Genomic DNA, 20,770 nt, shown 5'->3' with positions numbered 1-20,770 from the left:
ATCAGTTGAACCCGAGAGGTGGAGGTTGCAATGACACCACTGCACTCCAGCTTGGGCAACAGAGTGAGACTTTGTCTCAAAAAAAAAAAAAAAAAAAAAAAAAAAAAAAAAAAAAATTAGCTGGATATGCTGGCATGCACCTACAGGTCCCAGTTACTCAAAGGGCCTGCTTGAGCCCAGGAGGTTGAGGCTGCAGTGCGCTATGATCCTGCCACTGCACTCCAGCCTGGGTGACCAAGTGAGGCTCTGTCTCAATAACTTAAAAAAAAAGGGGGGGGGGGCAGGGAACAGGATGGGCACAGTGGGTCACACCTGTAATCCCAGCACTTTGGGAGGCCGAGGCGAGCAGATCACCTGAGGTCAAGAGTTCGAGCCTGGCCAAGATGGTGAAACCCCATCTCTACTAAAAATACAAAAATTAGCTGGGCGTGGTGGCAGGCGCCTGTAATCCCAGCTACTCAGGAGGCCGGGGCAGGAGAATTGCTTGAGCCCGGGAGGCAGAAGTTCCGTTTAGCTGAGATCACGCCATTGCACTCCAGCCTGGGAAACAGAGCAAGACTACATCTTGGGGGGTGGTGGTGGGGAGGTGCTTGGGGGAGCATGGCCTGAAGCTTGGGTCTCAGAAGCTCCAAAAAAAAAAACCAACTCCATCCGTTCCCGTCCTCCTCCCCCTGCCAAAAAAAAAAGATGCAGGGATAACCTTGTTTCCATCTCTGCATAACAGCAAAGTGCCTACTTCATGTTATTTGTGATTAAATGAGTGAATAAATGTAAAGTGTTTAGAACAGTACCTGGCACACACTAAGCACTATAAACATGTTACCTATTGTTATTCAATGGACTCATTACACTATTAGGAGATAGCCCAGCTTACAATGATGACAGCATACATTTATCCAGCACTTTCAATGTGTCAGGCATTTTTCTTGGCACCTCACGTTTATTCTCATTCATCTCAACAACCTCAGAAGTTCATACTAGTCACATCACATGTACAGAGTTCATCAAGCAGTAATCAGCTTTAGTAATATAGAAGTCTTGTTATTCTAGGGCCTACAGTGAGGGTTTTCATTTACTGAAGCCAAATCTATTGTATTTGATTGCTGTCTTATGTTTTCCGTTTTTTTTTGTTTTTTTTTTTTTTTGAGACAGGGTCTTGCTCTGTCGCCCAGCCTGGAGTGGAGCGACGGGATCACAGCACACTGCAGCTTCACCTCCTGGCTCAAGCAATCCTCCTTAGTAGCTGCCACCAAAGGCACACATCACCACACCTAATTTTTTATTTTGTTGAGATGGGGGTCTCACCATGTTACCCAGACTGGTCTGAATCTCCTGGGCTCAGGCAAGCCTCCCACCTTGGCCTCCCAAAGTGCTGGGATTACTTACATATGTGTGCCACGGCGCTGGGCCAGCAAGTATTTTTTCTAGACAGTAAGGTGAGCTCTTAAGATATTTATCTACTTTTGCCCCCTTTATATTTAATTAAAAACTTATAAATCTGAAGTTTGTTCCATTACCTTTTAACTATCCTATGGCAAATATTAAAAAACAGTATCACAAATGACTGTTGAAATGAAGGAACTATCTCCAGTAAGACATTTCCCGCTTCCTAAAGTATCAACCAATCAACATCACCAGGCTGCTTCTACCAAGTAGTTTGTTCACAAGTTCCTTTATGCCTTTAATGATGCTCCAATACAAACATCACTTTCAGTAAAATCTTTCTTCTGCTTCACAAGGAGCAGTATTTTTTTTTTGAAGTTTCTTCATCTGAGTGTACACTGAGTCCAATCATGGTGAAGTAAAACGGGACAGGACACATATAAATCTGATGTGAAAAGTTTAGCATAGGTTGGGCACCGTGGCTCACGCCTATAATCCTACCACTTTGGAAGGCCAAGGCTGGAGGGTTGCTTGAACGCAGGAGTTCAAGGCCAGCCTGGAATGTAGAAGGACACCAGTGTCAACAAAAAAATACGAAAATTAGCCAGGCATGGTGGTGCACATCTGTAGTCCCAGCTACTTGGGAGGCTGAGATGGGAGGATTGCTTGAGCCCAGGAGGTTGAGGTTGCAGCGAGCCATGATCACGCCACTGCACTCCAGACTGGGCGACAGAATGAGACCCTGTCTCAAAAAAAAAAAAAAAAAAAAAAGAAAAAGAAAAAGAAAAGTTTAGCCTAATACATGGTTTACCCAGTGGACCGTGTATTAGAAATTTAACAATTTAAACAACAACTGAGTTTGGATTAAACACGTGGAAACTAGTGTTGAGTCAAAACATCCTTTCATTATCACATACTGATTCTGTAGATCACCCTTGTTGTCTTCTATATTGCTTGTGGTTTGCTCCTTGCAACAGATGTAACCATATAATCCCTTATAAAATAAACTCGGTGGCCGGGCGTGGTGGCTCACGCCTGTAATCCCAGCACTTTGGGAGGCCGAGGCAAGCTATCACCTGAGGTCGGGAGTTCAAGACCAGCCTGACTAACACGGAAAAACTCTGTCTCTACAAAAAAAAAATACAAAATTAGCTGGGTGTGGTGGCACATGCCTGTAATCCCAGCTACTTGGGAGGCTGAGGCAGGAGAATCGCTTGAACCCAGGAGGCAGAGGTTGCAGTGAGCCGAGACTGCACCAATGCACTCCAGTTTGGGCAACAAAAGCCAAACTCCAAATAAATAAATAAAAAATAATCTCGGTTCATTTAGCCTTTCCAAAAATCAAAGGATCAAAATAATTCAATGATACGTGAGAAATTGAACAAATGAAGTATTATATATAAATGAAGCATAACCTTCAAAATTAGAACCATTAAAAATATAATCCCAAACACTGTACTATGAACATAAATCAGACAATTTTCTAGTTACTTAACTATGACACAAAATGTAATTTAAAATTAAAACAATTTTGGCTCAAAATCTAATTCTACTATATTAGTATCTCTCACAGTTACACTTTTTTTTTTTTTTACTTAAAAGGCTCACATATTATTTGAGTAAACACACTTACCTTTGTACTTTAGGTAAAATGAAGTAAAATCAACTCAGTTCTCTTAAACTGTGTTCATTAAGTAAAACACCTTTATTAATTATTTAAAATCCAGTCAATTCTCAAATCCCACTTAGAAGACAGAATCCATCTACTGCTCCTCCTCCCTTTAGCTGGCTTTCTCTGTGGCATTAAAATGCTTTTAGGTCAGGCACCGTGGCTCATGCCTGTAATCTCAGCACTTTGGAAGGCCGAGGCTGGCGGAGATCAGGAGTTTGAGACCAGCCTGGCCAACATGGTGAAACCCCATCGCTACTAAAAATACAAAAATGAGCCGGGGGTGATGGTGCACGCCTGTAATCCCAGCTACTCAGGAGGCTGAGGCTTGAGAATCACCCGAACCTTGGAGGCGGAGGTTGCAGTAAGCCGAGATCACGCTACTGCACTCCAGCCTGGGTGACAGTGCGAGATCCCACCTCAAAAAATAAAAATAAAAAAATGCTTTTAGGCCAGACCTGGTAGGTGGCTCACAACTGTAATCATGGCACTTTGGGAGGCCAAGGCAGGCTGCTTGAGCCCAGGAGTTTTAGACAAGCCTGAGCAACATAGCAAGACCCTGCCTCTACAAAAAAATTTAAAAATTAGCCAGGCATGGTGGTGCAGCTACAGGCTGAGGTGGGAGGATCATTTAGCCCAGGAGGTCGAGGCTGCCGTGAGCCAAGATTGCGCCACTGCACTACAGCCTGGACGACAGTCTCAAACAAACAACAAAAAACACTTAATGTTTTTAAAGAGTGGACACGTCAAACTTTTCTTTCATCTAACCCAGTGGTTGAGTCCACAGGATGAGTAGGAGCTTGACAGATGAAGAGTGGAACAACCTAAGGTGGGGAGAGTAAAAGCTCAGCCAGTTCAGCAATTGAAATAAACAAAATGGGGAGAACAAAGTGAGTGATGAGGTGGGCAGAGATCAGAAGACTCAGAGCGCCAAGGCCAGGTTAGAGATTTGGAATTTTTTAAAAAATGAAACAAAAAAAGAATGGAGTTGAAAACCAAACCTACATAACATTAGTCATTCTAATTCTGATAATGGTTTGGCTAAACACTGAAACTACCAATCTTACAAAGATTTCTTGTTCTTATTGCTTTTGGACACTCCTACTCTTACAATGGATGCTTAAAAAGCATGAAATTTTAAAACTGTAGCTTTTAAAATGAGAAATTTTGTAAATTTTACAAATTTATCAGGTTCCAACAACTTTCCTAACCTCTATTCAGTACTTCATTTAAAAAAAGTTACTTTAACCCTCTGTAAATGAAGAATTATCTAATCATATAAACAACCCATCTAGCAAGGAAATAAAGATGTACAAACATTTCAAACTACGTAATTTGAAGGAACATTAAGAAAATTAAAATAAAATATCCATGCTGGAAAGACAGGCAAGATCTCTAATACTCCAAAAAAATTAGGAAAACTTGTAAGTTTTATACAAATTTGGATAAAAGATGATAATTATACAGGATTACACAGCTACAAATGCTGACAGCTGTTGAATTTTGAAATCCAATAGAGTGAAAGGGCAAAAGTGCAAGCAAATTTCAAAATATGTACTCTTCACATGGTCCTGCTATCATGACATCAAAAGGTATACTTATACTTTGGGAAGAGATTAACTTGAAGTTTATTCTTTTTAAACCCCAACACGCCAGGGGTGGTGGCTCACGCCTGTAATCCCAACACTTTGGGAGGCCGAGGTGGGTGGATCATGAGGTCAGGAGTTCAAGACCAGCCTGGCCAACATAGTGAAACCCCATCTCTACTAAAAATACAAAAATTAGCCGGCTGTGGTGGCATGTGCCTATAGTCCCAGCTACTCAGGAGGCTGAAGCAGGAGAATCGCTTGAACCCGGGAGGCGGAGGCTGCAGTGAGTGGAGACTGCACCACTGCACTCCAGCCTGGATGACAGAGTGAGACTCCATCTCAAAAAAAGAAACAAACAAACAAAAAAACCCAAAACATTTCAATATTGAATTTTTTTTTTTTTGAGATGCAGTTTCACTCTCGTGGCCCAGGTGCAATCTCAGCTCATGGCAACCTCCGCCTCCCGGGTTCAAGAGATTCCCTTGCCTCAGCCTCCCGAGTAGCTGGGACTACAGGCGCCTGCCACCACGCCCGGCTTTTTTTTTTTTTTTTTTTTTTTCTGAGATGGAGTCTCGCTCTGTCACCTAGGCTGGAGTGCAGTGGCACGATCTCGGCTCACTGCTAGCTCCGCCTCCTGGGTTCACGCCATTCTCCTGCCTCAGCCTCCTGAGTAGCTGGGACTACAGGCGCCCGCCACTACGCCCGGCTAATTTTTCTGTATTTTTAGTAGAGACGGGGTTAATTTTTTTGTATTTTTAGTAGAGACGGGGTTACACCGTGTTACCCAGGATGGTTTCAATCTCCTGACCTCGTGATCTGCCCGTCTTGGCCTCCCAAAGTGCTGGGATTACAGGCGTAAGCCACCGTGCCCGGCCATGCCCAGCTAATTTTTGTATTTTTAGTAGAGATGGGGTTTCACCATGTTGGCCAGGCTGGTCTTGAATTCCTGACCTCAAGTAATCCACCTGCCTCAGCCTCCCAAAGTGCTGGGATTACAGGTGTAGGCCACTGCGCCCAGCCTTAAGTCTTGAATTTTAAAGAGGTGAAGTGCTTTAATTGATCAAGAATGTGACCTGGGGCCATGTTTAGAAAATTCACATTGACAATTCACCTTGCTCTTTTTCAATGTATTAATATAGTGACACTTCTTGTGAAAATAACTACATGAGGCCGGACATGGTGGCTCACGCCTGTAACCCCAGCACTTTGGGAGGCCGAGGCGGGCGGATCGCCTGAGGTCAGGAGTTCGAGGTCAGCCTGGCCAACATGGCAAAACCCTGTGTCTACTAAAAATACAAAAATTAGCTGGGTGTGGTGGCGGGCGCCTGTAATCCCAGCTACTTGGGAGGCTGAGGCAGGAAAATCACTTGAACCGGGGAGGCAGAGGTTGCAGTGAGCCAAGATTACACCACTGCACTCCAGCCTGGGCAACAGAGCAAGACTCTGTATGAAAAAAAAAAACCAAAAAAACTACATGATGAAGACACTATTATTTATTAAAATCCCACCTTAAGAATCAACTCAAGGACATGTTTTATAGTAAGCCTAAATTGTGTGCTAACTTAACTGTCACTGAACATTTCTTGATTTTGAGCAAACCTTGAGATTTGTTACAAGGGAAGGCCTACAGGGAATCCTAGATGGAGAAACATACCCTTTAAAAACAAAACAAAACAAAAACAACAACAAAAAAACCTTGCATATCTGTAAATAACAAGGAGAGTGAATGGTTTCTAAGTTGGTATCTGGTATATTTTCTACATTTATAACAACTGGCAAACCAAGCATGGATCTTGAACAAAATAAACAATTCACTTTGTTAATTACAATGTACCAAAAACTTCCAAGGCAAATGACAAACTCATTTCAAAAGAGGTAAATAATGTACTCCTAGTCTTCCTGCCATAGGTTCTACCTACTGCTGCTCTGTACGGTGTTACCAGAATTAGTCTTTCCCCAACCATGTCACTCCCCTGCTCATACAATTCTTATCCTGATGCTAAGATAAATGGCAAATTCCTTAGCATATTTCTCTTTCCACAATAGAACCCCAACATCCTTTCCCATCTCTCTCCCATGAAAAACCCTATCACACAGCGTATATTCTAGCCACATCAGAAACATGTTAGCTTCATCTGAAAAACCCTTCCAACTTTCCCTACTTCTAAGGTATGTTAATTTCCACCAACCCTGTTCAAATATACATTTTCTCCATGAAGTTTTCCATCAACGCTCCAAACCTACTCTGTCAAAAGCAACCCATCCCCTGCCTTTATATATAACATTTAAAAAACCTTTTAAAGCATAACTTACGGGAAAACTGTGTGGACATGTATACCAACCCCACTGTATCTCTGAAGTCTCTGACAGCAGAAGGCACCTTAATTTGTCTTTACATTGCAAATACCTAAGACTTGGTAGGTATTCAATGTCTGTTGGCTAAAATGAGATAAAGGTGCAGCAAATGAAGAGTGACTGACTGCTCAACTCAGAAGAACCACCAACTTCAAAATGCCCCAAATGTAACATCACTACCCCCATCACACCTGCCTACCCACTTCACAAATACTATGCTTCCTATGCTCCCCAATTTATTAAATAATTATCCAGCTGGGCACAGCTGCTCATGCCTGTAATCCCAGCACTTTTGGGAGGCCAAGGCGAGCAGATCACTTGAGGCCAGAGTTCGAGACCAGCCTGATCAACATGGTGAAACCCCATCTCTACTAAAAATACAAAAATTAGCCAGGCGTGGTGGTGGATACCTTTAGTCCCAGCTACTTGGGAGGCTGAGGCATGAGAATCGCTTGAACCCGGAAGGCGGAGGTTGCAGTGAGCTGAGATCACACCACTGCACTCCAACCTGGGTCAGAGATTGTCTCAAAATAAATAAATAAATAATAAATAAATCATCACCCAACAAGTTGCTCAAACTTTAAACTGGGGAATTATCCTTGATTTGTCCATCTTACTACCTAACTTCTAATCAGTCACCAAGTTCTGCTGATCATCCATCTTCCCTCAAATCTTTCCACTTCTTTCCATCTTCTGTGGTAAGGGTGGCTGGAACCCTAAAACAGCTGTTTCACTGGTCTCCCTGCCTCCTGTTTTTCCCTGTTCTTCCCAAACTATTCCTCCTTTTACTTAACTGCCTAAAGCACAATTCTGCCCCATCCATTAAATGGGTAAAATGGAAAGTCTAAATTCCTGTATTATAAGCCCTCCATGATTGGCCCCCTTGCTCACCTCTACAGTCAAGTTTTTGGCTATTCTACCAGTCAGACAGCACTCACAGGTTCCCAGAACAGGATATACCTGGCCTCACACAGTCTCCTTTCTAGCCTGGGCTCATTTTTACTAATCCTATCTCTATCTGTGAGATCCCAAAATCAGACACAATTCCTCAAAGACAGCCACCAGGATAACTACTGGGTTAGGTTCTCCTGTTCCTCCCACTATATACGTACTTCCCAAATACAATGCTGATCACACCAGACTCCGTGAATGCCAGTCTTCTTCCCTTATCTATAAACTCCAGGAAGGAAAGAAGGAACAATGTACAGAGGATAAGTTCCTGGCATACAGAAAATGTTGGCCTAATACAGAATAACTGCCATCTTGTCAACTCTTCTACGCCAGTATTCTTCAAATTATGGCTCAAAAGCCAACAGTGGGTCATAAAAATCAATATAGTAGGCTGCAACCAGTACTAAAAAAAAAAAAAAAAAGAAAAGAAAAAAAAGCAACAGAAAATATGAGAGTATATTACAAGTAATAAGGGTAAGTATTCTTGTGCATTCTTTGAAACAGAGTCTCTAGTGCTACAAGTTAAAGGTAGTTCTTCCTTAAGTGTTGTAAAAAAATTCTTTGGAGCACTGCACTGCTACTTTTCTTCTTCCTCCTTTATAAGAAAGTTTCTTAGAGGCAGGCATAGTGGCTCACATCTGCAATCCCAGCTACTCAGGAGGCCGAAGCAGGAGGATAACTTCAGCCTGGGCAACACAGCAAGACTCCATCTCAAGAAAATTTATTCTTTAAGACCCAGGTGGCTGGGCACGGTGGCTTACCCCTGTAATCCCAGCACTTTGGGAGGCCGAGAAGGGTAGATTATGAAGTCAGCAGATCGAGACCATCCTGCCTAACATGGTGAAACCCCATCTCTACTAAAAATACAAAAAATTAGCCGGGCATGGTGGCGGGTGCCTGTAGTCCCAGCCACTAGGGAGGCTGAGGCAGGAGAATGGCATGAACCCAGGAGGCGGAGCTGGCAGTGAGCCGAGATCGTGTCACTGCACTCTAGCCTGGGTGACAGAGCTAGACTCCGTCTCAAAAAAAAAAAAAAAGATCCATGTAAGAAAATGAAAAATAGAAAAAATTATGCTTAATTGGCCAGGCACTGTGGCTCTCGCCTCTAATACCAGCACTTTGGGAGGCCGAGGTGGGCAGACTGAGGTCAGGAGTTCGAGACCAGCCTGGCCAACACGGTGAAACCCTATCTCTACTAAAAATACAAACATTAGCCAGGCATGGTAGCAGGTGCCTGTAATCCCAGCTACTTGGGAGGTTGAGGCAGGAGAATAGCTTGAACCCAGGAGATGGAGGCTACAGTGAGCCAGGATTGCACCACTGCACTCCTGTCTAGGAAACAGAGTGAGACTCTGTGTCTAAAAAGAAGAAAGAATATGCTTAACACAGTTCTTTATCAAGAAGCCATTCTTAAACATTTCTAACAAGAACAATGTTTTCCATTTTCTCATTATGCCTTAACTATCTGCTGATTTTCATTTCTATTACTTACGTATACAAGACATCTTACATGATAGGATATATAAGATGTCTTGTATACGTGACATGATAATATATATGATATATATATACGTGACATGATACAAGATGTCATGATACTATATATATATGGTTGTCCCTTGGTATCTGCTGGGAATTGGTTCCAGAATCCACTCCCTCCACTGCAGATACCAAAATCTGAGGATGCTCCAGTCCCTGATATAAAGGGGACATGTAGTATTTGCATATAACCTACACACACCCACCCATATACTTTGAATTCTTTCTGGATTATTTACAATACCTAATGCAGTGTAAATGCAACATAAATAGTTGGTGCACTGTATTGTTTAGGGAATAATGACAAGAAAATAAAGTCTGTACATGTCCAGTACAGATGCAACCATGGATTTTTTTCCCCTAAATATTTTCAATCTGTGGCTGACTCCACAAACACGGAACCCTCAGATACGGAAGGCTAACTGTACAGTATTTTTCCATTTTAAGCTCTGTTCCTATATTCTTATACTCCTAGAAAACAACATTTGGATAGATGACATAAGGCTTACTCTTAAGACTCCTCTATGAACATCATGCACTTGGCTTTCTCTTTATCCAGTCTATCTATACAGGAGTTCATCCTTACCCCGTTTCATTTTCTGCCATTTCAAACACCTGTGGTACAAAAATATTACAAAGAAAACTGCAGAAATAAACACTAATTTTTGTTGTTTTAGAAACAGAGTCTTGCTATGTCACCTAGGCTGGAGTGTACAGTGGTGTCATCATAGCTCACTGTAACCTCAAAACTCCTGGGCTCAAGAGATCCTCACACCTTAAGCCTCCCAAGAAGCTAGGACTACAGATGCATGCCACCATGCCTTGCTGACTTTTTAAATTTTTTTTCTAGAGATGGTGGGGGGATGGGGGGTCCCACTACATTGCCCAGGCTGGTCTTGAATGCCTGGCCTCAAGCAATCCTCCTGCCTCAATCTCCCAAAGTGCCAGGATTACAGGCGTGAGCCACAACAATGTTTTAAACTGTGCGCCATTCTGAGTAGCCTGATGAAATCTCACCTGACCGGGTAGTGAATCTCCCCTCCGTCTAATGTATTCACCTGTATAAACTACCAGCCATTTGTCACTTAGTAGCCATCTCAGTTATCAGATTGTCAGACTGACTATGGGGCAGGGCAATGCTTGAGTTTTAAGTAACCCTTATTTTACTTAATGACAGTCCCTAAGTCCAAAAGTAGCAATGACAGCTATATGGATATGCCAAAGAGAAGCTGTAAATTGCTTGAAGGTGAAAGTTCTTGACTTAATAAGGAATGAAAAAAAATTGTATGCGGAGGTTACAAAGATCAAATCTATACATGAAATTGTGAAGGAAAAAAATTCGTGATAGTTTTGCTGTTGTACCTCAAACTGCAAACATCACAGCCACAGTGCATGACAAGTGATTAGTTAAGATGGAAAAGGCATTAAATTTGTGTGTGGAAGACACGGACAGAAACGTGTTCTGACTGATGACAATTATATTCACTACTATACAGGGTTTCAGGTATCCACTGGAGATCTTGGAATGTATCCCGCAAGGATAAGGGGGGACTACTGTATATCCACGAAAAACAAAAACAGGCCGGGCGCGGTGGCTCATGCCTGTAATCCCAACATTTTGGGAGGCCGAGGTGGGTGGATCACGAGGTCAGGACTCCCTGTCTCTACTAAAAATACAAAAATTAGCCGGGCATGGTGCTGCGCAGCTGTAGTCCTAGCTACTCCGGAGGCTGAGCAGGAGAATCGCTTGAAGCCGGGAGACGGAGGTTGTCATAGGCCGAGATCACGCCACTGTACTCCAGCTTGGGCAACAGAGCAAGACTTCGTTGCAAATCAAAAAAACAAAAACAACCCCCAAACCATCTACCACTGCTTTCCTTCTGATATATTTAGCAGTAAAGTTAAAAACAGTTAACAATGAACACATACTACACAGAAGCAAGCATAGTCCTAAGCATCTGATAAAGAGAATTCTCATTTATTCCTAACCACAATCCTGTAAGGTGGGTAAGTAAGGTGGATTCCTATAAGGTGCGCACCCACCTTACAGGGCTGTGGTTAGGAATAAATGTGAGGAGGTTGAGCCAGGTTAAGTATTTGGCCCAAAGTTCACAGTTAATAAATACAAGCCTGGGCTATGAACTCTAGCAGTCTGACTCCAATACTCATTCTCTTAGCTACTCTCTTACTCTTTTCAGTACTTTTAGTTTTACTCTCTCTCTCTCAACAAAATTACTTCTAGGGCCAGGTGCTATGGCTCACGCCTGTAATCCCAGCACTTTGGGAGGCTGAGGTGGGCGGATCACGAGGTCAGTGTATGGAGACCATCCTTGCTAACACGGTGAAACCCCGTCTCTACTAAAAATACAAAAAATTAGCCGGGTGTGGTGGCGGGCGCCTGTAGTCCCAGCTACTCGGGAGGCTGAGGCAGGAGAATGGCTTGAACCCGGGAGGCGGAGCTTGCAGTGACCCGAGATCGCGCCACTGCACTCCAGCCTGGGCGACAGAGCGAGACTCCGTCTCAAAAAAAACAATCACTTCTAATTGCTTTGGGACATTTATAAAAAAGAATCTAGATCTAAAAACAAATTATATCCAAATTGCTCAGAAGAGGCTTAACACCTCAATTATTATTTATCCTCTTAAGCGCTTCTGGGAAAGTGAGCAGTAATTTCCCATGAAAATTTCAAAATGAAACTACCGTCTATTAAGCGAAAAAAAATCACCTGCGAAGTTCAATGTTAAAAAATTTTTTAGCAGGGAGGGGAGAGGGATAGCATTAGGAGATATACCTAATGCTAAATGACGAGTTAATGGGTGCAGCACACCAACATGGCACATGTATACATATGTGACAAACCTGCACGTTGTGCACATGTATCCTAAAACTTAAAAGTATTAAAAAAAAAAAAAATTTTTAGCTGGGCGCGGTGGCTCACGCCTGTAATCCCAGCACTTTGGGAGGCAGAGATGGGAGGTTCACAAGGTCAGGAGATCGAGACCATCATGGCCAACATGGTGAAACCCCGTCTCTACTAAAAATACAAAAAATTAGCTGGGCATGGTGGCAGGCGCCTGTAGTCCCAGCTACAAAGCGAGACTCTGCCTCAAAAAAAAAAGAAAAATTTTAGACTTGGTATAATTGGTTTCATTTGCCCATTAATTTTACTGCTTGCCTCACTTAAAAAAATATTCAACTTTAGAAATCTTCAAAGAAGGAAACCCTAAAATCTGGACAAACATAAAACTAGCATCTTTTACTTTTCCATTAATTGCTGGGTATATGAATTGGCAGAATAACTCTCAAATTGTTTTTGTAAATATACCAGGAAAAAGTATTTTACACTCCCACTTGTATCTGCAACACTCTTCCTACTCTTTTTCTCTTTCCTATTTACCACTTAATGTCCCTACAAATACCACTTTGCATTAATTTTCAACTGTTTCCATTTTTTTGTTTTTATTAAATAAAGAAGAGAGAGAAAAGCAAAGAAAAACACAAAATAATGCCAAAAGGCCACCAAGGCAGAAACCCTTTCCTCCCTCCTCCCTATTATCCATTCACTGGACATGCCAATACAATTCCAACCTCTGCTATAGAAGATGAACTCCTGCTGGAATAAGACCCCCATATTGTAACGCATTCAAGATTTACAACTTAAAAGTCACTTTATCTCACTATCAACCAGAGACAACCTTCTTGAAGTCCTATAAATGAACTTACAAGGCCTTGAGAATAATTGCCAGAAAAACTTAAAGCACTTTAGTAAAATGTTTTGCAATTTAATACTGAGGAGAGAAATGCCTCACTAAATCAGGAGCTATATCTGCAAGACTCCAGAAGCAAACTCTTATGTAAACATTCAAGCCAAAATAAAATAAAACATAGCATATCACAAGTTACAGAGCTGGAAAATAAATGGTCTTGATCAAAATGTTTTGGTTAGGATGACGAACCACTAACACAATGGCATTTTAAGAAAATAGAGCTGACAGCCGGGCATGGTGGCTCACGCCTGTATTCCCAGCACTTTGGGAGGCTGAGGCGGGTGGATCACCTGAGGTCAGGAGTTCGAGACCAGCCTGGCCAAAATGGTGAAATACTGTCTCCACTAAAAAATACAAAACTTAGCTGGGCATGGTTGTGGACACCTGCAATCCCAGCTACTGAGGAGGGTGAAGCAGAGAATCGCTTGAACCTGGGAGGTTGAGATTGCAGTGAGCCAAGATCGAGCTACTGCACTCCAGCCTGGGCAACGAGAGCAAACCTCTGTCTCAAAAAAAAAAAAAAAAAAAAAAAGTAGAGCTGACATTTTAAAAAGCCTTACCACTTCTCCACTGTGTACATTAATCTACTGGTCAAAAAGCAGGTATACTTTACACACTATCTGCCCTGTGTCTTTGAAATGGGGGAAAAACTCAAAAAACAAAAAAGCACAAAACCCAGGGCCACAAAACTGTACCAAGACCAGAAGGATCTTTACCCTACTTAATTATATGCCAGATCCTAAAATCCTATCTTTCCAGGTGCTTTTTAAGTGCATACGGCATTAAGCGTTTACCAAGCAGTGACAAAACGTGTTCACTGAGTAATGAAGACAACAGATGACCCTCATCATTTCCATCACTCAAGATGATCAGAAACAGCTCCAAAAGATATTTCCAGGATTTGCCTAACATTAACTTTTCCAGTCTTTTGGTCATTTTTACAAAAAAAGTTTACAAGTGGCTTTCATAATCTTTTTTTTTTGGAGGGAGAGGGAGAACAAAATGTCATTTCTCAAATGATTTGTTTTACCCTAACCATACCAAATGAAATAAAAATTTCAATGGATCAAATGCAAATACTGAAACAGGAACATAAAGGTGTGAAGGCTACAAATAAGTCTTCTCTTCCCCATCCCAACACGTAAAAGTTGAGTTTAACCTAAGTTATTTGAATCAACCTGGAAATTTTTTAGGAGAATATCTGAGTATTAAACAGCAATTCAGAGGTTGAGATTTAAGTAATAATTTGATTTGTAACACTTTAGCATGTCATCCCATTGGATTCCAGTTTTCTTTCCTTTAAAGCTGACATTAGAACGCTCTTGGTGGATATATTTACATCACGAAATTTGCAAGCCTAAATCACTTTTTTTAAAAAAGTTTTAGGTGCTAGAATTTCGGGCTTATTTCAACCAGTTCTAGACAAAAACCATAATATCAAGAAATAATTTTCTTTCACATTTATAAAATACCCAAGTGACAACTCAAAAATCAAAAGTTACAAGTTTGAAACTTAAAAGTTTTAAGAGGTGATGTGCCTCCAATAAAAGTTACCTGCAAACATATTACAAACTGCAGAATGTCAAAAAAAAAAAATTCAAGATATAATGGTACCTCTGGCCGGGCGGCTCATACCTGTAACCCCAGCACTTCGGGAGGCCAAGGTGGGTGGATCACTTGAGGGCAGGAGATCGAGACCAGCCTGACCAATATGGTGAAATCCTGTCTCAACTAAAAATACAAAAATCAGCCAGGCGTGGTGGTCTGCGCCTGTAGTCCTAGCTACTAGGGAGGCTGAGACAGAACTGCTTTAACCCAGGAGGCAGAGGTTGTAGTGAGATCGCACCACTGCACTCCAGCCTGGGTGACAGAATGAGACTCCATCTCAAAAAAAAAAAAAAAAAAAAAAAAATTACAATGGTACCCAACTTGAAGTAAGTTAACAGAGGGACAGTATTTTCTTTATACTCACTTCTCCCCTCCCCCAAACCCAGACTGGTTACAATTAAAAACCGTACACCAAAGAATTCCTGGAGTAGAATCTTGATTTGGGGAGGGGGGTAAAGTTAACCCTCATTACAAAATTTAGAAAAGTAACTAAGATAAACTCTTAGCATTATGAGTGAATGAATTAATCTCAATGTTGAGTTTTTTTTTAAACTATAAAAGCCCACTTAACACATTTAAAACTCTTGTAATTATTCAAAGATATTTCAAGTAGCAAAACAGACCGACATGGAGAAAGTAGTAGCACACCTGAACAGAAGTATTTAAACAATACAGCTCCAAGACGAAACTGCTCAAATCAGGACTACTCAAAGTACACAAAAAAGTTTCCCCTACGTTCCAAGTCACTGGCTAACTCCAATGTAAAATCGACTACCACGTTACACCAAAACTAAAAAGCAAAAACTACCACATTACACAAATACGAAAGAAACACCACAAAAATCTACAGGTGATTAAGTCTCTAAAGATGATCTAAAAAATGTTTCTGAATGGCACTTTAGTAGGTGCAAAGGAATACAACGACGTTTGTGTATGTGTATGAATTCTGAAGGAAAAAACCAGCTAAAAAAATCCCTGGAGACTACAGTACCTTCATAGAATAGGTACAGATCAAAGTTCATGCATAATCAATGTTACAAGCCTTAGGTAGAGGAACTCGCAAGATTCCTACTTCTCAATTTTTGCAGGTTAACTTAAATTCATTTCACATCTTTCTTATAAAAGCAACGAATTCAAAGCATTAGCTCTGTCTTCCCATTTTCACCCTCTGAAATGAAGCCTATTTAGAAACATGCTCTCGAAGTTCTCTACAAACTCAAAGGGTACATTTAACTCCATTATGCACTCTCACTGGCAGATGGAGGGATGACGCTGAGCCTGCTCTCAGGGAGTTAAAGAGATGCTCCGTAGTAAAGGGGAACATCTTGTGGACTGTCAGATGGCCAGCCATTCTTCATCTTCATTATCCCAGCAAAGAAAAGGTCCTTACCCATCAGGATAACACCATTAAACTAACTGTAAGAAAAGAATGAAGGGATGATGGAAGAAGTCTCCCTGAACTTCTCCTGACAAAGGAGCTAGTCCACAACTGAATGAACTGGTCGTAAAGCTTTTAAACGAAAATCTTGATCTCCAAGTATGTTTAAAAGTGTAAAAAGACAAAGACACACACAAACACCAAACCTAATGCACATTTTAAACTTTTGTACAATCAGTTCACGTTTGTAGTTCATGATTGGAACTCTTTCAACTTCTAACCTTGATTTCCAGGTACGTAACTCCACAAAATTGTTTATCTTATTTCCCCTAAAATGAGAAAGTGACTGCAAACTGCAAAGAACATGCCCCTGTTCTCCCAACCTAAAAACCCAGAGTTTCAGACATTTTGGTCTCACACCAAAGAACTGGGAGATGTGAAATGAACTGCGCTCCATATTGATTCTTAAAGCAAATAAGAAGAAAAAGGAAAAAAAAGCTAAGAATGGTAGGTAAGATAAAAGAATTGTTAAACTTCACCTCTAACCTGAAATCTTGGACCTCGCACACACAAAATCAAGATTTTTTTACACCCTATTCCTCAACAGAAAATATTCTGCAAAGGAGAGAAAATTTCGAAGAGTGGAAAGTAGAGGAAACACAGTAAGTACAGTAAAGAGAAAGGATTCGAAATTCATTTGCCAAGAACAAAAAAAATGAAACTTAAATTGCATAGGAGCTCTTACACACAAATGCATTGGCATTTCCCAAATTAAATTGCATGAGAGCAACAATACAGGCCATTTCTATATAGCACCCACTTACGAGCTCTAATTCCAGAACACACACCGATATGACATAGTGTTGCAATCAATGTATTAGGAGGCAAAGAAAATGGTTGGGCTACTGGACGTCTTCGACCAGCTCATTCAAATACCTTTAAAATTAATTAAGGGGCAGGGAACTAGAGAGAGAGGAAGAAAAAAAAAATGGAAGAATAAAGGCGCACCGAGTAGAAAAGATTAAAGGGAACGTGGAAGGCCGGGGCTGCCGAAACTAACCTGTGCCATCGCTGGCGGACGCCGAGAGGGCCGGAGATGAGAGTTTAGGCCGCTTGGCTGAAGGCGGCCCCGGTTCCACCACATTCTCGGCCATTTTTAATTCTTTCGGAGATACAAGCGAGGAAAACCAGAATCCTCAGGAAATCTCTTCTTCGGCCCGGGGTCCCCGCGCCGCACCCAGGGGTGGGCTGGGGGGCTCCGACGGCACCCGAGGGGGTGGGGGAAGTTCCTTTTTCTCTTCGCCGGGTCGCAGTGGCTGGAGAGGGATGCGGACTCGATAGAAAAGGTAAGGGCAAGTGCGAGGGGCCGGGCCTGGGCCCAAGCCCGGAGGAGGGCACAAGAGCACAAATTCGCCGAGCGCGTCCGCTGCGGCGAATTCCCGAGAACTCGCGGCTCTAGAGGCGCAGTCCCCGGCCCGCCACGGCCGGCCCCTGCCCAGCCGAGGTCTCTCGGAGCTCCGCCGCCGCCATCAACCTCTTCCTCCTCGGCGCTGTCCTCCTCCTTCTCATCGCCACAAGGAGGCGGGGGCGAAAAGGGGGGAGAGGAGGAGGCGACAAGAGACACTCACCTCCTCCCGGTGCCCCCTCCCGGGCCTGCGCCCCCACCCTCCGAACCCTCCTCCTGCCGCCGCGCTCCGCGCCGCCGCCGCCGCACCGGCCCCTAATGGCCGCAGAGAACTCGCCCGAGCCGAGAGCCAGGCTGGCGCCGCCGCCTCACATCGCGCGGCGGCCGGCGGAGGCGCGGCAAGGACGCCGGGAGCGGAGCTGGCCGGACCAGAGGGCCGAGGGGGCCGGGCCGAGCAGCGCCGCCCGCACGCCCGCGCCGACGCGGAGCCCACCGAGGAGGCCCCGCTCCGGCGGCGGCGCAGGCGGCCCCTCCTCGCGCCGCGCTCCCCTCCTTCGCCTTCCTTTCCCGCGGAAAATAAATAAATACGGCCGCTGCTACGGCCCCCACCGCCGGCGGCCAGGTGCTGGGAGCGCCCGCCCCCCGGGGCTCCGTTCGGGGCCGCCCGCGGCGGCGGGAGAAGACGCCGCGGGGCGCGGGGTTATGTAATGGTCCCCCCTAGGCGTCGACGCCGGCCCGGCTGCTGGACCGCGGTGGGGGTGTGTGCGGACGGGAGGGGGCTGGGGGTCGCCTCAGCCCGTGCGCCCCGGGCCCCCTGCCACTGTCTCGGCCCCTGCCGCCTCTCTCCGACCCGACTCCCCTCCGCACTCTCTGGCTCCCGCAGTTAGCACTCAGCCCGGCGTCCTGCTTGCCCACTCTCGCCCGCTCTCTCTCGCCCTCTCTCCCCCCCAGCCTAGCACACAAACAAGATGGCGGCTGTTGTTTCTTCCCTCTGCCGAATCCTCCTTACAGGCTAGCGGTAGCGGCGGCGGCCGGAAATGAGCCAAGGGGGGGTGGAAAAGGGGAGTGGCCGGGCCTCCGGAGGGGGGCGGGGCCTAGGCCCGAGCCGCTCACACAATGGGGGAAGTGGAGCCGGGGGCGGGGCCTGTCCCAATCACGGGATCCGCCCTAGGCCCCAACGCGGTTAGCGCTTCCGCAAACTCCCCCGGCGTCACCCTGTGGCTCCCTTTAAAGGGGAGGATTTTAAGAGTGGGGAGGATTTTAAGGGGGGAGGGGCGGGGGCGGACTCAGAATCTATTTTCAGTCGGTGGATAGTTACGAGGGAAGGTTCCTGCCTTTGGTCTCTGCGTAAGGGACCAGTGGGAACCGGGACGACGGAACCCCGGAGCTGCTCCGAGGAAGGCGCCAAGTCGCCACTCAGGTGGCCAAATGGGAGCGCCCGTAGGGCGGCCCTGCTCTTCGGCCCTTGGGTGGCGGGTCCCCCAAAACCCCGGTCGAATTCACCAGGCAGGGTGTACCCACTGCCGGCTGTTCCGGGCCAGATACCCAGTGCGTCCTCACTTCTCCATTGCCCTCCCAAAGGGAGCAGTTCACATCCAAAAAGCACGTTGATTACGAGTTGTTTTCATTTTCTCTGAATTTTCCTTTTCCTTTTTATGTATTATTTATTTATTTATTTTACAACGAGCATTATTACTCTGACCAGAAAACAAAATCACAGCAGTGGAAAGATGTTTCGGCACCAGACCCAAATTCATTTCTTGCCCTCCACGTGTGTCCATACGCCCTTACCAGGTAGCACTCTCACCGCAGAAGCCTTCAAGTATTTTCCTAAACATGGCTGGGACCTGAAGACATTTCTAGGGTTTGTCTTTTTTTTTTTTCTCGTCCGCTCCCAATAGAACAAGTTAGTAAAAGACCACGTCTAGCCATTGCCTTATCTAATGTAATTATGGGAAAAACAAAAATGTGGTAAAGGTAATGTAAGGATGGAAAAAAGCAAAAATGTAATGGTGAGAGGAAATGCTGGAATATAAAGTCTAGTGTGTGGGACTCCACAGTTTTGCAGCTGAGGTCGGAGACGTGCTTTCAGGTTCCTACACATCACCCTGTGTTTGGCCATGGGTAAATTGGTACTGGAGGAGGTGGCAGGGGTGTAAGTGACCCCGAAAGAAACCCCGAAACCAGTATCTACTGATACGGTTAAAAGCTTTTTCTCGGCCAGGCACGGTGGCTCACGCCTGTAATCCCAGCACTTTGTGAGGCCGAGGCCAGTGGATCACCTGAGGTCAGGAGTTCGAGACAAGCCTGGCCAACATGGTGAAACCCCGTTTCTACTAAAAATACAAAACTTGTCCGGGTGTGGTGGTGCACGCCTGTAATCCTAGCTACTTGGGAGGCTGAGGTAGGAGAATCTCTTAAACCCGGGAAGCGGAGGTTGCAGTGAGCTGAGATTGTGCCATTGCACTCCAGCCTGGGCGACAAGAGCAAAACTCTGTCCCAAAGAAAAAAAAATTTTTTTTCTTTTATTTCATATCTCATGCTCCGTAGCTGGTATTTGCAAATTGTTGGATTTTCTTTGTTTTTTTTTTTATATTGTTTCTGTTTGTTTTTTAAATTAATGTTGGGATGAATAAATAAGAACATAAGAGTGAAGATCCTAATGGAGCAATTGAAGTTGCTGACAGGGATGGAATCTGTCCTCTAATGATCAGGCCTAGATCACCCAAACTGCAGTAGAAAAGCAGGCAAATTGAACCGGGCGTGGTGGCTCACGCTTGTAATCCCAGCACTTTGGGAGGCCGAGGAGGGCGGATCAGGAGGTCAGGAGATTGAGACCATCCTGGCCAACACGGTGAAACCCCGTCTCTACTAAAAACACACACAAAAAAATTAGCTGGGCGTGGTGGCGGGCACCTGTAGTCCTAGCTACTCGGGAGGCTGAGGCAGGAGAATGGCGTGAACCTGGGAGGCAGAGCCTGCAGTGAGCAGAGATCGCCCACTGCACTCCAGCCTGTGCGACAGAGCGAGACTCTGTCTCAAAAAAAAAAAAAAAGGCCAGGTGCGGTGGCTCACGCCTGTAATCCCAGCACTTTGGGAGGCCAAGGCGGGCGGATCACGAGGTC

The 20,770-nt window shown here is 44.4% G+C and overlaps 1 protein-coding gene and 1 non-coding gene across 3 annotated transcripts in view, besides 6 other annotated features; both read right to left on the bottom strand.

The window, feature by feature from the left end:
- Positions 1-17,807, bottom strand: part of EP300 (EP300 lysine acetyltransferase) — an 87,486-nt gene extending 69,679 nt beyond the window's left edge. For both annotated transcript variants that reach the window (NM_001429.4, NM_001362843.2), the window contains exon 1: positions 17,301-17,807. In NM_001429.4, the coding sequence (NP_001420.2) occupies positions 17,301-17,394 (94 nt within the window). In that variant the 5' untranslated portion in view covers positions 17,395-17,807. The remainder of the gene's footprint in view (positions 1-17,300) is intronic.
- Positions 2,985-3,975: an enhancer, noted in NCBI's record as "H3K27ac-H3K4me1 hESC enhancer chr22:41502428-41503418 (GRCh37/hg19 assembly coordinates)". NCBI's record gives its function as "activates a minimal SCP1, AML or CMV promoter by ChIP-STARR-seq in naive H9 embryonic stem cells {active_cell/tissue: H9 hESC(naive)}" and the evidence as "EXISTENCE:reporter gene assay evidence [ECO:0000049][PMID:30033119]".
- Positions 4,695-5,339: an enhancer, noted in NCBI's record as "H3K4me1 hESC enhancer chr22:41501064-41501708 (GRCh37/hg19 assembly coordinates)". NCBI's record gives its function as "activates a minimal SCP1, AML or CMV promoter by ChIP-STARR-seq in primed H9 embryonic stem cells {active_cell/tissue: H9 hESC(primed)}" and the evidence as "EXISTENCE:reporter gene assay evidence [ECO:0000049][PMID:30033119]".
- Positions 17,117-17,356: an enhancer, noted in NCBI's record as "active region_19106". NCBI's record gives its function as "activates an Ori minimal core promoter by ATAC-STARR-seq in GM12878 lymphoblastoid cells {active_cell/tissue: GM12878}" and the evidence as "EXISTENCE:reporter gene assay evidence [ECO:0000049][PMID:35858748]".
- Positions 17,467-17,566: a silencer, noted in NCBI's record as "silent region_13779". NCBI's record gives its function as "represses an Ori minimal core promoter by ATAC-STARR-seq in GM12878 lymphoblastoid cells {active_cell/tissue: GM12878}" and the evidence as "EXISTENCE:reporter gene assay evidence [ECO:0000049][PMID:35858748]".
- Positions 17,747-18,516: a silencer, noted in NCBI's record as "silent region_13778". NCBI's record gives its function as "represses an Ori minimal core promoter by ATAC-STARR-seq in GM12878 lymphoblastoid cells {active_cell/tissue: GM12878}" and the evidence as "EXISTENCE:reporter gene assay evidence [ECO:0000049][PMID:35858748]".
- On the bottom strand, positions 17,833-17,886 carry MIR1281 (microRNA 1281). Its single transcript, NR_031694.1, has one exon. It is a non-coding gene; the product is annotated as a microRNA 1281 (primary transcript).
- Positions 18,617-18,906: a silencer, noted in NCBI's record as "silent region_13777". NCBI's record gives its function as "represses an Ori minimal core promoter by ATAC-STARR-seq in GM12878 lymphoblastoid cells {active_cell/tissue: GM12878}" and the evidence as "EXISTENCE:reporter gene assay evidence [ECO:0000049][PMID:35858748]".

The sequence above is a fragment of the Homo sapiens genome, chromosome 22, assembly GCF_000001405.40.
Source record: "Homo sapiens chromosome 22, GRCh38.p14 Primary Assembly".
In the NCBI taxonomy this organism is placed as follows: domain Eukaryota; kingdom Metazoa; phylum Chordata; class Mammalia; order Primates; family Hominidae; genus Homo; species Homo sapiens.
The sequence above is the reverse complement of the archived record's forward strand: the minus strand, read 5'-3'. Positions and strand labels throughout refer to the sequence as shown.